Raw genomic sequence first — 23299 nt, forward strand, 5'->3', positions numbered from 1 at the left:
AAATTTTCTTCTTGAAAATTGTATCCAACCCGTACGCAGAGCTAGCTAGCTTGGGACCCTAAACCTACTTTATGTTTGCTACTTTCAATCTGCAAGCATCTCATAAGTGGCACCCCTGGTGACTGGCCATTGCATCTACAGAATCAAGAAGTTGGTGTAATTTTAATTCCCATCTTCTCCACTACCATCATTTGGGTTTGTCATATACATGAAATATGGTGTGGCAGTTCAGTATTCTCCTGAGAGTACTATGAAACCTCATTACTTTGGGGAGATTTTCTGCATCTGAAAAAGGAAGCAAAAACAGCACTCTGAGAGGATGACTTGTGATACCAGCTAGAAGATGGCATGTTGAATCATGCTTCAGAGCCTTGTGGATAGGCAATGACCAATGACAGGACTACACTTGTTCTACTGTAGTGTATGATTATCCTTACACAATTCACCACTGACTTTTATCATAAACATACTACATAATAAAATAAACAAATATATTTAACATTCTGCTCTCTCCTGTGTATTGTGTTTTCTGCATATTTTCTGAACTTTATTTCTTTGCAAACTTGCTGACGTGGCACCTGATTCAAAAAGTTGTCACTCCTAAACTTAAGTGGAAAGGTTCATTTTCATAAGATGACTATCCTGCTTAGTTTTATTTTGCACCACTTCACATTTTATGACATAAAATAAAATATCTTAGGATAGTAGAGTTATGAATCATTTAGTGTCCTAGAAAATATGAACATAATTGTCATCTAAAACTATAGAAAATACATAAAAGAATCTCTCAGAACTCAATGGGCATATGTAAATCCCTAGAAATATTTTTGTCTTGTGGAATACTATATCATGGAATAATGACAAAGAGAATATAGACTGTGTAATTCAATAATCGTCTCCATAAAAAAAAGACTGATCTCAAGCCTATGTGGTTATTTAGTAGAAAAATAACTCTGATTATTAATCTAGGGAGTGTTTAATATAGTATGCTAGTTATCCCAGTGTATTCTACTGTGACAAGACAAATTTTACTTTGATATTTTCCTGAGTTCATCTACAAGAGAAAGGTAATTAAAAATGAAGACACAATGCTTATTCCCATCACAAATCATACTTTATTGTAATGCATACTTTTAGATACACATTTAAAGGGTATCCATCATAAATTTTTATGTTGTACATGAAAAAAGTGGGTAATATTCCAAATAGGTAATAACTTTACAAATTGTATGGAAATGAATGGCACAAATGCGTCGGTACTGCTTCATTTTAGAAACACACAGCAGTAAAATTCATCACTTAGGAAGATTTTTATTCAAATGCCTATGTGCTCAGAATTCTTCCTCTATCAAGGCCTTTTTTCCTGTTTCTTTTGTTGTTGATTTTGTTATTAACATAGAAAAGAAGTGAATAACTGAACCAGCAATCAAAAGATATTAGTGTCTTTGAGTATATTTTTTGAAGTTCAGGGATAATTTCTTGAAGCATCTGGGGTCTATCGCACACACAGACCTTTTCATGTCTCCTCTTTTTTTCTTTTTCAAGATCTTAGTGTATGAATGGGATTAATCTAGGGACAGAGAATTTACTCAGAAAAAATTGAATGGTTTGAAAATTAAGTCCAAAATGTTGAGCACTGATGTGGGGAGATAAAATACCGTGGTACAATCATGTACATATTTTAAAGCTATCTGTCACTTTCTTCCAATGTATTTTCACTTGGAAACTCAAAATGTGTATCAATTGCTGTGGCTGAAGCATGCATAGGGTTTCTTTTATCGTCCACACTTCACCTCTTAGACTTCAACAGTGTTTTCTTGGTATAGCCTGCACCTAGTAGGACCCAGAAAAATGTTGTTTCAACATTGATGAAGAAAAATCATGGACATTTTTTAAATTTATATGTTCCGTCTCAGTCTCAGTTCCATCATTTGCAATAAGAGAATAATAGTGGTTATTTCCTAAAGCTATAATTTAATCAAATTAAATAATGTATTCTACATGTCCTTAAATAGTTACTTGAAAGTAACAAGCTCAAGGCCGGGAGTGGTGGTTAATCCCTATAATTCCAGTAGCTTGGGAGGCCCAGGCAGGCAGATAGCTTGAGCTCTGGAGTTCCAGACCAGCCTGGGCAACACGGTGAAACCTTGTCTCTACAAAAAATACAAAACAAACAAACAAAAAATAGCCAGATGTGGTGGTGCATGCCTGTATCCTTGCTGCTCAGGAGGCTGAGGTGAGAGGATTGCTTGAGCCCATTGGCTCGAGGCTGCAGTGAGCCATGGTTGCACCACTGTGCTTCAGCCTAAGGTAACAAAGTGAGATCCTGTCTCAAAAAATAAATAACAAGCTCAAAATAAATGTTAGATCTCTTTTCCTTAGATTTACTTACAAAGAAGACTACCCATAATATAATCACATAGGAATCCAATGTAAAATATCCTCATTCTCTAGAAACAAAGAAATGGATACTAAGATTTATGAGCTTCAATTGTCACACAGCTGTAGCAATACCTTGTTTTTGTTTTGTTATGTTTTGGTTTGGTTTGGTTTTTTTGTTCTTTTTTGAGATGGAGTCCCACTCTGTCTGTCACCCAGGCTGGAGTGTAGTGGTGCAATCTCAGCTCACTGCAACCCCCACCTCCTGAGTTCAAGCAATTCTCCTTCCTCAGCCTCCCAAGTAGCTGGGACTACAGGTACATGCCACCATGCCCGGCTAATTTTTGTATTTTTAATAGAGACAGGGTTTCACCATATTGGCCAGGATGGTCTTGAACCCCTGACCTCGTGATCCACACACCTCAGCCTCCCAAAGTGCTGGGATTACAGGCGTGAGCAATTGGCCCCAGCCTACCTTGTGGTTTTTTAACCTTATTTGGGTAGGCTAGCCACTTGGACGAATAAAAAGATATTCATTCCTTCCATTATTTATTCATTAATTCACAAAGTATTGAGATTCTGCTGTAAGGGAGGCACTGTGTGAAGTTCTGGGGATAAAGCACTAAACAAGACAGACATGCTCCCTTCCATTGTGGCATCTATAACTTAGCTGAGAATAATGTATTAAATAAATACAAGTGATATGGTTTGGCTGTGTCCCCACCCAAATCTCACCTTGAATTGTAATAATCTCCTTGTGTCAAGGGTGAGGCAAGGTAGAGATAATTGAATCATGGGAGCAGTTTTCCCCGTACTGTTCTCATGGTAGTGAATAAGTCTCCTGAGATGTTATGGTTTTATAAATGGGAGTTCCACTGCACACTCTCTCTGGCATGCCACCATGTAAGACGTGATTTTGCTAATCTTTCTCTCGTTCTGGATGCTTCCTGCCCTAGAACAGCAGACTCCAAGCTCATCAGCTTTGAACTCTTGGACTTATACCGGTAACTTGCCAGGGGCTCTCAGGCCTTCAGCCACAGACTGAAGACAGCACTATCAGTTTCCCTGTTTTTGAGGTTTTGGAGCTTGGACTGGCTTCCTGGCTCCTAAGCTTGCAGATGGCATATTAAGGGGCTTCACCTTGTGATTCTGTGTCAATTTGCCTAATAAACCCTCTTTCATATATTTGTCTATCCTATTAGTTCTGTCCCTTTAAAGAATCCTCTATTTTATTTTATAAAATATTATATTTAGTATACATTAAATAGATATAAATAAGTGGATGAAGGGGGAGGAGGGTGAAAGAAGCAAAGATTGCTATAAAAATACACACTGGTAAAACTTTTTCTTTAATGAAATGGGGCTTCAATGTGGATTGATGTCCTTCCTGAGACAAGATTGTACACACACACACACACACATGTACACACATACATTTATGTAAGCTAGATGGATAGATAGATAGATAGATAGATACATACATACATACATACATACATACATGATAGATACACATCTTGCCATGCTGGAATGTATGGGAGTGGGTGAGGGAAATAAAAATAGGTTACTCTCGCAAAGTAACTACAAAAAAGGATGACTATAGAGTGTAGGTCCAAGGATAGTAATGCCAATTGATCTTAGAGATGAGAAAGGGTGAAATAAACGATGCCAAACATTACATTACACTGAATTTGTAGGGCAAAGGAAATCCAATTATGAATATTGAAAAAGGAAGCTGAAGGAGTTAAATATTCTTTTCTTATAGCTCTACAAAAGTAAATGTAAATAGAAGAGATTATCTTAAAGCTTAAATCCTAAGGGATATCTAGAGAAACAAAAACAAAAACAAACAAACAAAAACAACTGAGGATTTAAAGGTTTGTAATTTGAGAAGAAAATCAGATAAGTGGAAATTGCTAATGTTCATCCAAGGCATACTTAGTAGAAACTCAGTGGGAGATCCAAAGAAACATTCTGCCCATCCATTGAGCTCTCAGATGTGCCTAGTTATGCAGATGTGAGTTATTTCTTTTCATAGTAGGACACACATTACTACCCTTTTAGATGTTATGGGCATTTTGGGGAGTGTTTTCCTGGTCTTTCTGAAATCTGGGGCAGCATTTAAAAAGAAAACCATGTAAAATATTCCAGAAGTATTTTACATCAAACTCAATAAATTTAATGAAATGATGCCAACAAATTAAATTGTACTAGATTGAGCAGTAATAGTGCTGAATGCACTGGTTCTGGGTAAAAGTCATTTTAATTCAGAAAAAAGAAGATGAAAATAACAAGGTTATGTCTCAGATCCAAACACATTTCTCTGGATGAGACAGCATGACTGTAAAAGATGTAGATTGAAATGTCTTCAGAATTGCTAAATTATATCAACTTGGAGATTTATAATCCTCAGTTTTGCTGATTAAGGAGCTGAGTATTTCTCCACAGAGCCATTGAATCTCCCTTGCATTAGAGGCTCATGGTACCAGGATGCATAAGGTAGTCATCACCACCTGAATGACATATACAGCATGTTGGTGTCACGTAGTGGGTCTTTTCTTAATGCACCTTGTGTGTAATAGATAACATGAACCAAAAAAAAATTCATATATGATCTAAAATATGCACTTACCAAACAAAAACATTATACTTCATAATTCACAATCTGATTCCTGATTTTAAATTTCAAACACAAATTCCACATGATCACATAAAATAATGGAATTGAAATAAGAGGTCTTCTCTTTCCTTGTCTTTGTACTCATTGTACTATTATTGCTTATTTCAAATCTACTGTTTAAGTGTAGGAAAATGTATCACAATAAGGGTTGGAGACAAAACAGCCTTAAGTGAGCCAAAACAAACAGGAATTTGATTAATTTACTACATATACTCTTTTAAAAGGTGAATTTGTATGATTTAGGTACTAACTATATAACTGTGAGTTTTCCAGATTAACTTTCTTGTAGAATATACATATAGAATACGATGTTTGTTAAGGTATAGATAATAAAATATGTGCTAATTTGAAAACCACACACGCACACGCTTGCCCACATGCACACACTTGCACACACGCACACGCTTGCACACACACACACACACACATATATATATATTCAATATGAAGCACATAAATTCTTTGAAACTCAGATCAGTATAATTTTTATTGAGGAATATTTTATTACTAACTTTATTTGAAATTGCCAGTTCATGTTTATATTATAAAGCCTACCAATTGTCAGTTGATTTTACTTGGTTCTTAAATTCTCTGTAGAAAATGTGTTGCTTTGTTGCACACACCCAGGAGAGATATCTCCCACCACACCAACCTGGCACTTCGCTGAACCACACCCACTTAAGAAACCCCTGCTAGACATCACAAAAGATGTTAAATTGGCTGGTAGATGCCTTGGTATGCTAGCTGGAGCTAATACATCCCACCCAGCATTAGGATTAAATTCCCCTACCAGCTCTGAGCCATTTCCATTAAATTGCAGCTCAGCAAAGGGATTTCCCTTTCTAAGCTTACCTATCACTAAGTTAGTTCATAATGTGATAAGTCCCTATTGTGTCAGTGGTAAGGGAACAATAACCGTCCATTTTCCTTGCATTCTGTTTATCTTCCTTACAAGAGAGAAAAATCTCTGTGCTTTCAATACAGTCATTTCGAGTCTTCAAAAAGTTGAATGTGACATCACAAGGAAAAGCACTATTTCTCACTTTAGGATGTGGGCTGTGCAAGAGTGGAACCAACTCAATATTTAAAAAGCCCAGTCTGATAATCTGTGGCTTTACTTAAAGGCTGTGGACACAGCAGATGTAAATTACGTAATCCCAAAGCAATGCAGATGGAAATAAAGATTTCCCTAGATAGGGATTAAGGTTTGTTAGAATGAGAAAAGACGCGAAGAGAGTAATGGAAAAACGAGCATGGTGGGAAGCTCATGGTGGGAGGTGGCAAAGTGGCGATTTGTAATGGGCAAACATTCTCCATAAATACAAGGACACACAAGATATGCTCAAGGAACCAAAGGAATTATTACTAATTAATGGTTTACTTTATAGATTTCCACTATGCTCCATAAATTGACTGAGAAAGATATGAGTACTTTCAGAAATATTACCCTGTGATTCTAGTAATCATGCAGGTGACTTTGGACACTTTTGAAAATAACAGGAAGTATGTATTTTAAGGGTGTGATTTTTTGGATCATATGCGGCTGCAGATATTCAGATACAATTTCAATTTGATGCATTTAAAAGAAATTTTTCACACTAAGATAATCTATTTAAAATAATGCCAACCTGAGAAGCTATTAGAATTAGGATGCACTAACATTCATTTTCCCCCCTTTTTAAAAGAACATCAGAACCTGTACGGCATTCATCTAGGATCAAAAAACTTTTGTGTGATTAAGAAAGGAAGGAAAATATATTTGCTCTTTATGGATTCTTGGCTTCAAGCTAGACAAAGAAAAGATGGATTGCTGACAAGGAAAGATTTTACGGATCTATATTTTCCAGACGTGTTGTAGCTAGCAAGAGCCATTCATGTTCTTGAGGAGAACTCTAGGAGATTTTGCAGATTTAACTTGGTGGAGACTGCAGCTAAAAGAGCAAAGGAAGCAGAGGACGGCCTTGTTGATCCACTCCATTTCCTCCAGAACATGTGCCCTGATACCAAGCTCAAATTCCCCAGCAGTGCTCCAAACTAGACTGCAAAGAGTGGCTCTCCTCCCAGCTTCGCCCCTCTCAATCTACCAATGTGATGACTCCAAAAAGATTAGGGAAAATAGTTTAAGTGACAGCCCCACGAATCCCACAACTTCAGGATATCCAGGGCCGAAATGTGACAAAATGTTTTTTAGAATATGACATGAGACTATTAAAGAGGGAAGTGACTTAGAGATGTGTGATTCTTGGCATCCAAAGATAAGTGACAAGCAAGAACTCCACACTGAATCCACCAGAAAATCTGTGATTATTTTTATAAAAGAAAGTACATTTCCTTTTATCTACTATTACGTCAAAAAAAAAAAAAAAAAAAAGGAAAATCCAGAATATTCGCTCCAAACTTTCTCAGTAGAAATGTAGCATACTATGGTATTTACAATGTAAACAGGAAAATGTATCTCAAAGAAACCATAAATACCAAATGCACATCTATTAAGACCCCAACCAAGTGGTCCTATAATCCCATTTCAAAAATTTGTTTTTTTGTATTAACTGAAGGACTTCTGGGACACTTCTATGGTCATTTTCATTGCAAATCTTCATTGTGATATTCTAATAAACTTATTTTACATTTTTTCCTCATAAAAGATCTTTAGTAGTACTAGACTGCTGGGATTCTATGCTGCCTAATGGCATTTTGCAAGGTTCTTGACAAATCTTAGATATACGGAAGTTATCATCTGAAAGGCAGAGTGAAGTAAACAAAAATTAATGAATCTAAAATTTTACACAACAAAGAAAAATGTATTTATTTTGAGGTCCTAAAGTAGGGTTTGGAAGTCAATCAGGATATGCAGAAAAATCAGGCAAATAAAAACAAGTAAACAAAACAAACGGCAAAAAAACAAAAAGAGAAAAATCTTTGAACTTATTTTACCTCAATGGCATATTGGAACAAATTAACCAACAAACTCGATCCCCAAAAGAGAGTGAAAACCACATATATTTAACTTTAATCTTTTTATTTCTGATAATATAACCCCATCCCTGAGAACGCCTGATTTAATCATATGGTAAATCCTGATCATGAATAGTCTTATTCTTACTTAGAAAAGCTTGATGCTCCCCTCAATTAGACTATACTTTGGGAAGATTTGTTCCTGACGATGAGCCCCTGACCTCCATTTCCCTAGGGCATTTAATTTACAAAACATATTCGTAAACTTTTTCTCTGCCTTTTTGAGATGTGAATTTCCTCCCAGCCTCTTGCCAGTTTTATAACCCAGGGATGTCTTGCTCAATGAGTTAAGCGCCATCCTGTTCAAATGTAATCAGGAAGGACATAGGACCCCAATTTCCCAGTTTATGTTTCAAGAAGTTGAGTTCAACCTCTGTTGCCTATTGCAATAGTCTTGAATAAAGTCTTCCTTGCCTGTTTATGTCTGTATTTTTTTGACACTTCCTTCTTAAAATTTGAGAGAGTTATGGTCATATTTCACCTTCTGATAGCCAAGAATTACCAATATCTCTGCCTAAAATTAACATTTCTTGGGATAATTCTATATCTAAAAAAAATAGTAAAACAAACATAAAACAACTGCCCTTGGTGTGAGAGTTATTTCAAACTTCTTATTCATCCAGCATTTTCCACACCTACCTATGACCAAGGTAATGGCATAGGTTAAGAGTTTTCCCTTTATGTCCTCTTAATTGGCTCATAAGTAAATTATAACAAAAAGAATTTTAAGTATATTCATTCAAATATAAGGAGTGGTGTGTTATTGCAAATTAAGAAAGTATTGGCAAATATGTATTTAATTTGCCTGTGGTCCAGTAACTTAAAAAACTAGAGTTTGATAATTTCCCCTTCACCCCCCATAACAAGCAATCTATTATTTGTTACTGCATTCACAAGAAAATACATATGGCCACAATTACTGAAATCAACACTGCTATATTTCATATAATTTTATTATTTCCGTGTTTCATAACTATTCTGTTTATCACAACTCCCAGACAGAGCATTTTTAGACTTTTTACCCCTAATTGTCCAGCAGCTACTATAAAATGTTAAAACCACAAATTCATTGTGTATCTGTTTATATACTGTGGTCCTTTGGAAAGCCACAAACCACTGTAGTATCTTAGATATACTGACCTCCAAAGAACAATTTTCACCCCTTTGAAGGTGGGTTCAGGCAATTCTTTTTTTTTTTTTTTTTTTTTTTGAGACAGAGTCTTGCTGTGTCGCCCAGGTTGGAGTGCAGTGGCGCGATCTCGGCTCACTGCAAGCTCCGCCTCCCGGGTACATGCCATTCTCCTGCCTCAGCCTCCCGAGTAGCTGGGACTACAGGCGCCCGCCACCACGCCTGGCTAATTTTTTGTACTTTTAGTAGAGACGAGGTTTCACCATGTTAGCCAGGATGGTCTCGATCTCCTGACCTCGTGATCCACCCACCTCGGCCTCCCAAAGTGCTGAGATTACAGGCGTGAGCCATCGCGCCTGGCCCAGGTAATTCTTTTGACAAAGGACAAATCACATTCTTCTCTATATTACAGCTAATATAAAAATAAAATCTATCTCTGCCAATTGATTTATATGTGTCTTATATAAAGCTCATTACTTTACCAATTTAAATGCCATTTTAGCTCACCAGGGTCAGGAAAGAGGAAGTGGGAGGGCAAGTTGTGGAGGAGGTGACAGAAATTTAAATTATTCTTCGGGAGGACATAGCTTTTTATGCTTATGCCTGGAAAATATTATCAAAATGAGCCTATATATGATTAACAATGACCATAATAGGAGCAGTTAAAAGGCCTAAAAATATTGAGAGAGGAATAATTAGTCCCCTAAAAAGCAGCTTTGTGCATTATTATCCCCATTCACATCTGTTTCATTATATACGTCTTTTTTATATGATGTTGAAGAAAAACAGATAATTTTCTATTCACCCTGGAAAATCCCACAGTGTGTCAATAATTTTCTTCTGAGTTCTTAATGAGAGGCTTTAAATTTCAATAAAGAATGTTGTTCCATTTGGGAACTCATAAGGAGTTTGCAGCAATTCTTTCTCAGACAATATTTTATGGCATCATTATGCCAAATTTTCACTAAATAATTTCACTCAAATAATTCAATAAGAAAATACCTCTGTACATAGCTTTCTTGATTCTCACAGCATCAACTGATTAATAACAGTCTTTTTTAAAAAAATCCTGCTACAATATTGTTTTTAATGCAAAATGTTGTTTAATAATTCCATTATATCAATGCTTCAGTCAGAACCAGTTAAACTAACGACCCTATTATGTAATTGTAAATTTATCTTTAACATATGAGAGAGAGATATATGTGTGTGTATATATATATCTATACATATATTTTACCTCTTTTTGTTTGTAATATTTTGCCCCAATTAAAGCTAGGTCTACATATACAGGGTGAAATGGAAATTGAATATTTAGAGATTAATTATAAACACTTTGGTAAAAACAATTGTTAAAACAGTAAAATAATTCAATCAAAGCAAATTTTTATGGTTTAAATTTCTAAATGATTGCTTTGGTTCTCTTTCCTTTGTGTGTATAAAATATGCTAGAGTAACGTAAGGAAATCACTGTGATTTAATATTAGTTAGATAATTTTTATAATAATAAACATATTCTATAATAAAATTCAAATCCTTAACCTTTGATAATGCATTTAGCTATTAAATTTAAATACATGGAAATTCAAACAAGTGGACATTAAACCTGTCTCTTGGGAGCATGGACTTTGGAACAAAGCTGCTAAGTTTGGATCTGAGCTCTGATATCTACTGTCTGGATGACCTTCGCCTAGTAATGATTAATCGCTAATTATTTATTCTCCTTATCTTACTTTCCTTTTTTGTGAAAGAGGATATTAACAGTGTTTAGATAGAAAGAAGTCAGACACAAGAGTTTATATCGTATGATCCTATTTGCATGAAAATTGAAAAATGAAGTTGTTTAACTGTAGCACTTGACTTTGTTATTTTTTGATACACTATGTTTGTATATATTTATGGGACATATATGAAATTTTATTACATGCATAGAATGTGTGATAATCAGGTTGAGGTGTTTAAAGTATCCATCACCTGAGTATCATTTTTATGTCTTGAGAACATTTCAGGGCCTCAATTCTAGCTATTTTGAAAAATATAATACAATGTCCACTATCAAAGATTAGAAATAATTTCTGCTATCTAACTGTTTGTACCCATTAACCAACCTCTCTACATCCCTCCTTTTCCACCCACACATCCTTCCAAGTCTCTAATATTATATTCCACTGTCTACCTCCATGTGATCAACTTTTTCAGCTCCCACATATGAGTGAGAACATTCAATATTTGTCTTTCTGTGCCTGACTTATTTCACTCAACCTCCATATATATAGTTCCATCTGTGTCACTGTAAATGACACGATTGTATACATTTTTATGGATGAATAGTATTTAATTGTGTGTGTATATAACACATTTTCTTTACCCACTTATCCATTGATTGACACTTACGTTGATTCCCATTCCTTTGCTATTGTGGATGGTGCTGCAATAATTATGGGAGTGCACCTATCCTTTGACATATTTACTCCTTATCTCTGGATAAATATTCAGTAGAGGGATTGTTAGATTGTACGGTCATTCTATTTTTAGTTTTTAAAGCAATCTCCATGCTGCTTTCCATACTGCCTGTACTAATTTACATTCCTACCCACTGCATGATATTTTAGGCAATCCAAACTAACCCCTGATAGAATTCAGAAGAGATGACTGGTGATAGGAATCAACTGGGAAAAGATGTAAAAAAATTCTTCCATGAGGGGATGTTCGGTGTCATAATAGAGGCATCAGTTACATGGATGTATATATTTGTCAATAGTCATCAAGGTTTCCCTTAGTATATCTTAGTTTCTTTCAATATTTTAAAAAAATATGATGATAATGATAAAAAATATTCAATGTGAATGTACTCAAGTACAGGGTAAATGCATCCTAATCAAACATCAACGACTTCTCTGGATGTATGGGTCCCACTTTGCCCATTACAATGCTTGTAATTATTAGCATTGCACCCCATCTTTTCTTCCTTCATCAACATATATTTTCCTGTGCCTTCATGTGCAATTACATCAAACACACAACTCCTCCCTTCAGGAAACTGAAGTGAAAGTGAAGCTAAAGTTAACCTTCCTTAGCTTTCCTCCTCATTTGTAAAAGGAAAGTTTGATGATTTTAAGTTGTCCTTTAAGCTTAAGCTAAATTGGGTTATTCATTATTCATGAAACAGTACCATGGCCTCATCTGACTGTAGGTACACCAGGATTGGTATTTTGGCTCATGTTTTCTTCTGTCCATTTATAAATTCTGTTTTTCTTTGCACATTTTTCTTTCTTTCTGTTCTGTATTTGACACTTTCATAAAGCCAGGAAAATTGGTGGAAATCTTCTGACTGACATTCACAAGTATCTGTCTTAAAGGATGAGAGACCCTTTTTTGCCCAGGGTGCATCTGTCAAAAATTAGGCAAATATTGGTTGTCTAGCCCTATGGTATAAATTGCTGGTAAAACTGTATTCACATAAATCCGATGAAATAGGTTTCCTATAAGAAATAAGATTCAATTATGTGGGAAATGAAAGATGGGATACAAATTATACCAAAACAACCATCACATACACTGTGGAAAGCAGAGATTACAAAGACCCCATGCTGGGTACAAAAGCAGGTTTCACAGGTTGTTTGTGGTATGCTTTTATAAATTTACTTAAAATCTCAGTGTTTAAATTTCATTATTTAAAAAACAGATTACAATAATACCTACCTCATAGTAAACTAAGGTAACAAAAAGAAACATTTAAAATGACCTCTGGCTCTACATAAATGTTTAAGTCATAAATCTAAACTCCACAATATTATGGTTAATTACAATTAGTATTGTTTCTATTGCCATCTTTGCACTAGTAGCTAGAAACTGCAGATATATTCTGAAACCCACAAATACCTCAAAAGACCATGAAATTGAAATCATGTTTCTGAAGATCAAGCACACTAAATAGACCTTCATGAAGGATCTGTTACTTCCTTGGAGTTCAGTTTTCAATAATATAAAGAATATAATGGAATATCCCCTTAAACATGCCAGTTCAGAAGATATATATAATCAAACTATATATAGACAAAACTGCAGTGTATTGTAAAAGCTATGAAACTATAGATGTAAATACATAATTGCTTGTGGTTGTCACAAAATAAAGTTGATTGCATCAAAATTTTAGTATTCAAATGCAGCATCTTATAAATGTCAAAGGTTACATTTTAGCTTAAATTTGCCAAATGTGAGTTCTTACCTGGGTTGTTAAAATACTGAGATATCAGGGGAGATTTTTTTATTTCACTATTGAATATGATAATGTATCTGGGCATTTTGGAAACCTAGAGACCTCAGAAAAATCCATTATCTTTCCCTTTGGTCTCTTTATAGAGATGCATATAAATAGATGGTCATTGTGACATTTTATTTTATGTTTCAGGGGCAATGGTGTATCCCCACTGACTTATTGGATTACATCTTGATAAAAAGTAACAGTGCTTTACCACCACACTTCATGCCACAAGTAATTTCCTTTGGATCCTAAGAGAGCCCAGCAACTTTATACTCTTCACTTGAGGGAGCCACTTCTGGTGTTAAAACAAAACTAAACTAAAACAGCAAAAAAAGTCAGCACCTTAGTTTCCCAAAGTTGCATTTATCCAAAGACTTGCCATGATCAAACATAAAACAGCTGTAAAACCTAAATGAAGGGCTGGAGTCAAATGTTTCCTAATTGCCTATTTTTTAAATACCATCTGTTCATCTGCTTTACTTGGTAATGTGCCACTAAATATGTAAAAACAAGTTAGTTACATTATGTTATTCTAAAAAGATTTCATGTGTTAGTAAAGATTATGAACATTTGTTTATGTTGGCTTCCAGAAATGTAGTAAAGAAATAAAAATGCCTTTCTCTGTGAATGAATTGTAAATGCATTCCATTCCTATTCATATTTTGCTTTATGTTGGGTCGCTAATATGTGAGGTATTGAAATTAAGGAGGTTTACTTGGAAACATTGCAAAATATATGGCATTATTTATAAGTTTATAATAGAAAGATAATAATTGCCACCATTGTTGAACAATTATGCTTTTTTTTTTTTTTTGTCCCTCAAAGGGTCTTAAAATGTGCTATTCCTGGTTACTATTGGGAAAAAAAGATCATTTCTATTCAGAAGGAGGCTGTCTTATAACCAGTTAAGGTAGAAAGTAAAACTAAACAAGTGTTTGTCTTCATGCATGAGAAATAAATGATGCTTAAGTTCATTGACTTAATTCATACATCTTTGTATTTGTATCCTAAGCTAGTGATTAAAAGAATGTTTATCTAGCCACAGAAAAATAGCCTGTGATGTTACTATTTTCTCAAAATAATGAGAGAACAATTTTGTTCCAACAAGCTCTAGAGGGTTACTTCTTTTTTCTGGACATGAAGTTAATTAGGAAAAGAGGAAAGCTAATAAAAATAATTGAGTGTTTACCAGATGCCAGCTGCTTATCAAATATCAAGAACAGTGCCAGAAATGTTAGTAGAGGGCTTAAGTACACAGGCTTTAAAGTACGACATAATTCAATTTTGATTAACTTGTTTGATGACCTTTGGCAAATTTCTTACTTCTCTACAAGAACCGTCCCTCAAGGGTAAAATAGAAATAATACTGTCACCCACCATTAGTAATTTCTGTAAGAATGAAAGGACATAACATGCAAAAGCTTTAAGCACCTAAAATATTTTCTGTCATTAATTCATAATTGTTATGTTTAATCTTCACAACAAATTTGAGACATACATATTGCTATTTTCATTATACAAATGAGAAGAATGAGGTTCAGAGAATTAATGTGATGGCCAAATTATGCATGTATTTAAAGTAATTTTAACATAAATCTTTAAAGCCTATTTGTTTTTTATTGAACAATGCTATGCTCACTTCTCATTTTTCTGGTGTCTTTTCAGGGAATGATTTTTCTGCCCATACCACTGTATAGTTCATTGTGTACAAAACAGGTAAACTATTCACATAGAGAACATCAAGCTTACAATTTTAGTGCATATCATAATAAAATCATCATGTAATAGTCACTTCTTCTACCTGCTGGGCACAGTATAAGAATAAAAGTAATTATCCCATTTAAATTTCAGGACATCTCAAAAAATAGGCGCTATTACTTTTTATTTTACAGTGAGAAAATTGAAGATTTCAAAGGTTAAGTGATTTGTTTATGTGAAGAAGATTCATTCCTTGTAACTATGTCTATCATATTCTAAAGTTTATGATGTAATCACAAAGCAATACTGCCCCCAATCTGGGTCCAGCAAATAAGATTAGATTTGTAGTTTCAAGAATTGCTCCTGCCAGCATGAAATGTCACATTCACCTCTACTCTGAGAGGCATGTTACTAGGTCATACAACATACAATTATGACTTCCAGCTTTTATGACTGCAGTAGAAATATTAATATTAAATATTAGGTTGGTGCAAAAGTAATTGCAGTTTTTGCATTACTTTTAGTGGCAAAATGCAATTACTTTTGCACAAACCTGATAGGTGGAAAGTTTAAAAAGCAAACTATCTCCTCTTTTATTTTCTTGGAAGTATTCAGAGTGCCGAACAGTGGCAGTTTTCTGAATAGCTTTGAGGTAAACTAGTCCTGAGGTTTTAGATGGAAGCAGTATGAAATTCTAGACCTTATACACTTTTAGAGAAGAAGTATGATCCATATAAAGTAAACTCTAGGCCTATATTTTGGGATATTACCATACATGAAGAATAGAGTAGAGATTATTGTTTAAAAATCCAGCCCTAGGAATTCTGGATTTGCTTAGCCAGACCTTGCAATTATATATCTTAATTCCTTGCAATAAATCCATATAAAATTGAATAACTCACTCATAAATAACATATGTATGTATCCTACTTGTTTCGTTTCTCTGGTTGAATGCTTCCCAATACAACTACCTTTTTCTTATGCAGCTAAAACTTCCTGATTAGAGAAAGCAAATTATAAATTTGGTACTGATAGATTCCAGATAGTTTTTTACTGGGTGGGGGATAGCGGATGGCACTCTCTCCTGATGATCACTGAGGCTACTGTCCAATCAGTCTAGCTGCGTATGCTATTTCCTTTTTCAAATGTGTAGTTTCTTTAGAGTCGTCATATTTTTGTTCTTTGCCTTTGGACAATCCAATGGATGAGAAGGAGCACATCCGATTTCTAAAATTTTAGCTACGCAAGTTTAGCTAAACCTATTTCAGGTTTCTAATCACAAGCTGCGCTCCACAAAACTGGCGATATTGAGCACTGTGTGCCTTTGGTTGCATGCTCCCACTTGCTTGCCCTTCTCCTCACAGGTATGTTCCCCAGGCTAGCAGGAGCTTTCCTTTTAGCTCCTGCTAAAAGCCAATGGGCCTGGAAAGATAACTAAGGAAGCTGGATAGGACGAAGAAAAGTTTCCAGTTTTGTCCTTAAGGTGAAGTAATCCCCTAAGGAGCTTGCCAGTGGCTAATAATTTGGGGCAGAGATGCAGGGAAACCAGATAACTGAAAATAAAACTTAAACGCACACGTTTTGTAAGGATGGGCATGTCCTTAAACATAGTATCAGGCTACATAGTTTTTAGAAGAAATAACAAGCAAGGAGTTTGGAAAAAGTAGTTCCCTAGTGGGAGGACAGTTAAAAATTAAAACTGTTAATTTTCATTCCAAATGTCTGCCATACAAAGTTCCTTAGACTGGATGGTGACTTTTGTTCACTGACTTTCTGTGTCAAAATAGCAGTTGGAATTGCTTATTGTGACATTTACCGATGGCTTCAAAATAGCAACTGTTGGCAACAAAAATGCTGATAGAAAAGTCTGCAAAAGAAAGGCAATCAATACTCAGACCTCCTATTGTGACAAAACTGGAAATTTACAAGTAAGTGGAAAATAGAGAATCTTGGTGATCTCTCTTTGTTTTTGTAACAGCTTTGAGCTTAGCAGGCAGATGGATGGATGCCTTAGCAGGCCATTCCTACTGCTTAGATGAAGGGCAACTAGATGGACACAATTTGGGCACTGATTTCATTTCAGGTGGCTCTGCAGATACTCTCTTGTGTTGCCAGAGATCACATATTGTGGCAGAATGTTCTCTGCTGGGTAAGAGAGAAGTTTCACACTCAAGGGGATGAAAATCCCGACTGATTAGTCATAAACACTGCTAAACCCTGGAAGTGGGATCGGAAGGATAATATCTTCCTCTCTCTTTTATCCTATTCTTGAGTCAGTTAATTGTATATCCTGATAAATAAGGATTATGTTTGATTATTCCTGAAGAGCAGAAGTTCACGGGGCAGAGTCAAACAGGATTTTCTGTAATATTAAAGACTATGACAATTCTGTTTGCATTACTTGGTAGTGAGCCAGTACGTACCATTGCCAGGTGGTAGAAGAATCTGTGAACTGTTTCAGCATTCTTTAAGGTTTTCCAGTGACCTCAGTGCAACTGCACTAAGCAGATAGTGCCCAATCTCAAGCTGCTATTTTTAAGTTCATTCAAATACTTTTTGCATAACAATGTGGAACATATTGTGGTGAAAATTCCTCCCCTGGAGAACCATGTTATTTCCAGCTGTGCCTAGTCCAAACATGTCTTTCTTTTCAAAAGATGCCAAGAGAACAGGGGGCTATTGGTAACTTTCTTCTTTCTAGTTAACAAATATGATACTTAATAGTGTTTGCCTGAGCCCATCCCTCAGCGTGTGACAATAAATTCATCATACAAATGACACCAAAATTGCAATCACTATTCTCAGCTTTTCAACACATTTCTAGACTATCAGGTGTTGGAACTGAGGCCAATGGTGATGTACAGTATAATATACCTCCTCAAACTTTTTTGATATGTACTTTAACTTTAGCAACGTCACACACAGAGACATATACATAAACACATGGACATTTTTCTAGGACAGTGAGTAAAATACGTTACAATAAAATAATAAAGCATATCTTATGCCTCTGAATTTGGAAACACCCTTTTATGTGTACCTTATATATTCTCACACAGCTAGTGAATTTTTCTGCTCTAAATTAGCTCATATGTAAACAATTTTAAATGATGTCCTGACCATAGCACTACATGTGTGTATAAACATATTAAACATATTTATATTTATGTAAATGTACCAATTAGTGAAACATTATCTAATAAAATTACTCAAGTTTCTAATAGCAATTCGACTATACCAGCAACTTAATCATGCTTTTCATAGCAGCAACCTCAAATCCTGGAAGTTCTCATGTTGACTGCCAGGCAGAGGCACTAAAACAATTTTAAATATTGCCTTTCTTTCATCATCCAAAAAGGAATTCAAATTCTTAAGCAAAGTAGTTTCCTTGAAATTGTGTGGGAATAAAACAGTTTGCTGTTTTCTGGAGGAGACAGTTTAGATTTCTGAATTTATTGAATTACATAAGTTTACCCTATAGGTTAATATAACACCTAAATTTCAAAATCTAAGATGAGCTCCTCAAGAAAAAAACTGATAAATTCAGGTGACAAATGTTTCAACTTCTACACTGAATTACTTTTAAAGCAGCTTACAGAAGATTAGTAACTACAATGGAATTATATTCTTTATCTGAATCTATAAAAGATTACTAAAAGGTAACTAATTCAAAATCTATATCAAATTTTTCAAAATTCCTGCTTTTCTATCCAATTTTATTGATACATCTCTTCTGCAGTTTCTCATGCAGTTAAACCACAACTCAGCTACCTGCATCTCACAATGTGGTTTTTCTTCTCTGCCTTTCTCTCCTTTTTGAACTTCTTGTTAAGTGGAGCAACCTAGCCTCTCTCTTCCACTGATTGAGTATATTCTATTTAGAGTATCATGCAGTGAAGAAAGGAAAAACAGACAAATGCAGTGATCTTAGAGATCAAAATAGGGTTTACAATCCTCAAGGTTCACCTGCAAGCTTTTCAATTCCTACCTGTATCTGTCACCTGCTGTCTGATATAACTGATGGAAGATAAGACAATAAAAGCCTAAGTTAGAGATTATGTGAAAAACAAGCACAGCAAAAACCTCTTCCTAATAGCATCATCGTGCTTCTGCTATGCATTGCATGACCACCTATGACTGTGCTTGGGGAGATCATTATTTTTCTTTCATAAATGGATCTCATAAAGCTCTATGGTTTTTATTATGCACAATGTGCAATTCCTCATAGTTTTACAATAACATATAAGAATCATCTATTCTCCTTACAACTGTTCCATAGTGTGCAAAGTGCAAGATGTCATAGACAAATGTTCACGTTTTTAAGACAAGTTTTTGTTAGTTAGGATAAAATAAAATGACTTTAAGATGTTTAGAGGTAAAATATGTCCACACTATTTGTTGACGTTGTGAACATAACTCCCAGGAAATGGGACTGAGTCCATTATTTGCCCTTATCTTGAGTTTAATAGAGTACTTGGAACTAAAGAGTGTCATTTTGGGACACAAATATGGTACCTACTGTATCCATGAATGAGACTGGGTTTTTAAAAATGTGTATTTAGATAACTGTAATGCTGAATGCATCATTTGGGACTACTAGCATACACAGGAACATTGAGAATTCATTCTTATTACGATACTGGTTCTGTTTGCATTTACCTGTTGGATGACCTTCTTTGGAAGTTTCACAGGAAATATACAACTCATAGTGTTGATAATCTCTCATTGCGTTTCTCAGAAACAAGACTTTATTATACACACTTAAGTCTGCTTAAAATGACTTCAAATGTTTTTAATGTGGTTACCACCACAAAGATTTCAGTATTTTATGAAACTTCTTAATATTCTCTTTTCTTACTTTATATCACAGTCCAGTTATTATAATTGTTAATTTGCTCCATGGCTGCTTCTACCATTCATATCATTCATTTGTTGCCTTTATTTTGTCTTTATCTTGTCACAAAAACAATTTGTGACATTAGAAAATAGAAGTCTTATATATACTTTTATTAACTTCTTCCTTATATATTTGCATCAAAATTTACTAATACCAGTGTTGGAATATATTTGTCAGCATAGCATACTGTCATATTCCCTATGTTACACTCTTCTAAAGGTGTCACATCCACAGTTTGAATTTCTAAGCCCTTTTATCATATAATCACAATGCTGCTGCCAATATTATTATATCTAGTCACTAAAATTTTTATAACATTTTATGGAAAAAATTAATAGCAAAGTCTAAGCATTCAAAAATTATTTATATTTTGAACATAAAATATATTTATAAAATAAAAATGAAATTTCAAAATTCCAAATGATAAAAAAAGACTTTCTGCATTTATATAAGAGTCAAAGTCAAGAAAGTTTAATATTGACATTCTACAGAGTTACCTCTGGAGATTTTTGGTAAATGTCAAATTTACCCTTGTCTAAAGCTGTCATTTTTTTAAAAGGAAAGTATTTGGCCTTAGAGGCTTAAGGATAGAATTTCCAGACATATACTTACAGTTTGTCTTTTGATTAGCTGTTTGAGTGCAAATAAGGCCCCGTTTATATAGAGGAGAGAAGTACTAAATAATATTATTCTTAGAATTCTCATTCTTTTCGTTACAGAAACCATGGCACATTTTTCCAAAGGTTAATTTGCTTTAGAACTTTGTAGCTCAACCCTTTATTATAGATTACTTCAATTTCCCTGGAGTGGAGGTCATACTAATCAAAGAAGGGACAAAGTGAAAAATGTATAGCTCTAGTGAATAAAATATTTGTCTAAATATTGGAACTTATAGAAAAAAGGCATAAGACTTTAGTTATTCAAACTAGTTTGTGTAAGACTTGATTAAGTCTATGTGCAGATTTCCTTAAAAATAGTCATTCCTGAAGTCAAACAGTGATTCAAACTTATCCTTGTTGATGCTTCACTAGTATTTTGCCTATCTCTAATTGACCCTCTAGTGTTTGTCCCGCAGATGTTATCACACAAGGATTCATTTTACTTTTAAGTTCCCAACCTCAGCTCATTCTCACTCGCCCTCAATAATATAACTTGTCTCATACCTAATAGAAAATCCTGAGTTTTTTTCTCATATCCTGATCTCACCTCAGTATAGCAGTAAAAATATATATACCATTTGTGAAATTAGCGTACAGTCATACCTTGTCTCTGGTTATCATCTTTTAATATATATGAGGCTTTAGCTTCTGAATATATGCCCTTCTTTTCTAACATGTCCAAACTCTTGTTAAGTGTATCTTTCTTTATTAATGTAATTTATTTTTTTTTGAGATAGTGTCTCATTCTGTTGCCTAGGCTGGAGTGCAGTGGTACAATAATAGCTCACTGCAGCCTCAACCTCCCAGGCTCAAATGATCTTCCTACCTCAGCCTCTTGGAGTAGCTAGAACCATAGGCATGTGCTGCTGCCACACCTGGCTAATTTTTTTTTTTGGAGAGATGGGCTCTCACTATGTTACCCAGGCTTGTCTGGAACTCCTAGGCTCAAGTAATCCTCCTGCCTTGGCCTTCCAAAATGTTAGAATTATAGGCATGAGCCACTGTACCCAGTCCCAGATCTTTTGAAGCGTTTGGTGTCACTGATCACCCATGATGTGTAATTTTTTTACATTTTTCATGATATTGTGGCCTGTTGGGATTCTTAATACAGTGGTAAATTTCTTGTCTGTATCACTATCTCTTTTTATTTCCTTTTCTTACCTCCCAGGTGGTGTCTCTAAAGCTTGAGTTTCCATGCATTAAAAGTAATATTCACAACATCAATTAAGCATTTATAACTAATTTACAAAAAGTTTTGATTAAATCTAAATTTTTTAAATTTTTATTTGACAATCATTGTATCTATGGGGTACAACATGATGTTTTGATATACATATACATTGTGAAATAATTATCACAATTAATCTAATTAATAAATATATCCCCTCATATACTTTTTCGAGGTAGGAACATATAAAATCTACACTTTTCACAATTTTTAAATACATAATACATTACTATTGGCTGTAGTCACTATGCTATATAATAGATTTCTAGAACTTATTCCTCTTTTATAACTGAAACTTTGTACCCTTTGACCAATATCACTCCATTCCCCACCCCTTATCTTTTCCAAATGTGATAACCACTATTCTACTCTCTACTTGCATGAGTTTTGACTTTTATTGATTCCACATATAATTGAGATCATGCAGTATTTGTCTCTCAGTGCCTGGCTTATTTCACTTAGCATAATGTCCTCCATGTTGTTGCAAATGGGAGAACATCCTTTGATTTTAAGGCTAAATAGTATTGCGTTGTTTATATACACCACATTTTTTAATCCATTTGTCAACAGACACAGGTTTTTTGTGTTTTCTTAATATCTTTGCTATTATCTATAATGTTACAATACACATAAGAGTGCAGATAACTCCTCAAGGTATTGGCTTACTTTTCTTTGGATGTATATTCACATTGTGATGGTTGGACCATTGGTTCACAGACCGGGAAAGGACAATTAGAGGGCATCTTCTGGATAATGCTTTAGAGTCCACTGTATGAGAAAATCTTTCTACCTCTCTTTAGGAAAGGAGGTCCTGATACTTGAAGGAAGGTCCTGTGTCATTATCTCTCCTGTCAAGTTCAGTTAATTGACATCAAGCTACAGATCCTCTCAACGTAAACACTGAGCCTGAAGTTCTTAGAATTTCACTTCCCAGAAACAAATTGTAGAAATAGGTCCCGGCTCTCCAAAAGTGACACCTGCTTATATCACAGGCTGGTTCTGGTAGACCCGCTACTTGTCAATCAGGTTCTTTGCACTTATAGATTTATTATTTTCATGTCTAAAATGTCCATAACTTTTAATTGCTCTGAAGCACATTGATGTCATCATGAGTTAAACACCTTTAATTCAGGGAAAATCTTTTAATGCACAAAGATAATTTAGATTTATAAAATTTAAGTCAAATTTCAAATGGATTAACTTTAGTAAAAACATAAAGAGGTTTTCTTTAACCTGGCTAACCTTTTCTGATGTATTTTTCCCCTGTTTTAAAGCAGTTTTATTTCTATAATCTTAGTCATTTTTGTCACTGTAAAATTTGTCACAACCTTCATATAACAGTGAACAAAC

At 34.6% G+C, this 23299-nt stretch overlaps 2 annotated features.

Annotated features, from left to right (window-relative positions):
- Nucleotides 2170-2339: an enhancer, noted in NCBI's record as "experimental_75379 CRE fragment used in MPRA reporter constructs". NCBI's record gives its function as "activates a minimal promoter by MPRAs in K562 erythroleukemia cells, with activity observed for the introgressed 4:162095656 variant allele {active_cell/tissue: K562}" and the evidence as "EXISTENCE:reporter gene assay evidence [ECO:0000049][PMID:34662402]".
- Nucleotides 17704-17873: an enhancer, noted in NCBI's record as "experimental_75396 CRE fragment used in MPRA reporter constructs". NCBI's record gives its function as "activates a minimal promoter by MPRAs in K562 erythroleukemia cells, with activity observed for the non-introgressed 4:162111190 variant allele {active_cell/tissue: K562}" and the evidence as "EXISTENCE:reporter gene assay evidence [ECO:0000049][PMID:34662402]".

Source organism: Homo sapiens, chromosome 4 (assembly GCF_000001405.40).
Source record: "Homo sapiens chromosome 4, GRCh38.p14 Primary Assembly".
Lineage (NCBI taxonomy): Eukaryota > Metazoa > Chordata > Mammalia > Primates > Hominidae > Homo > Homo sapiens.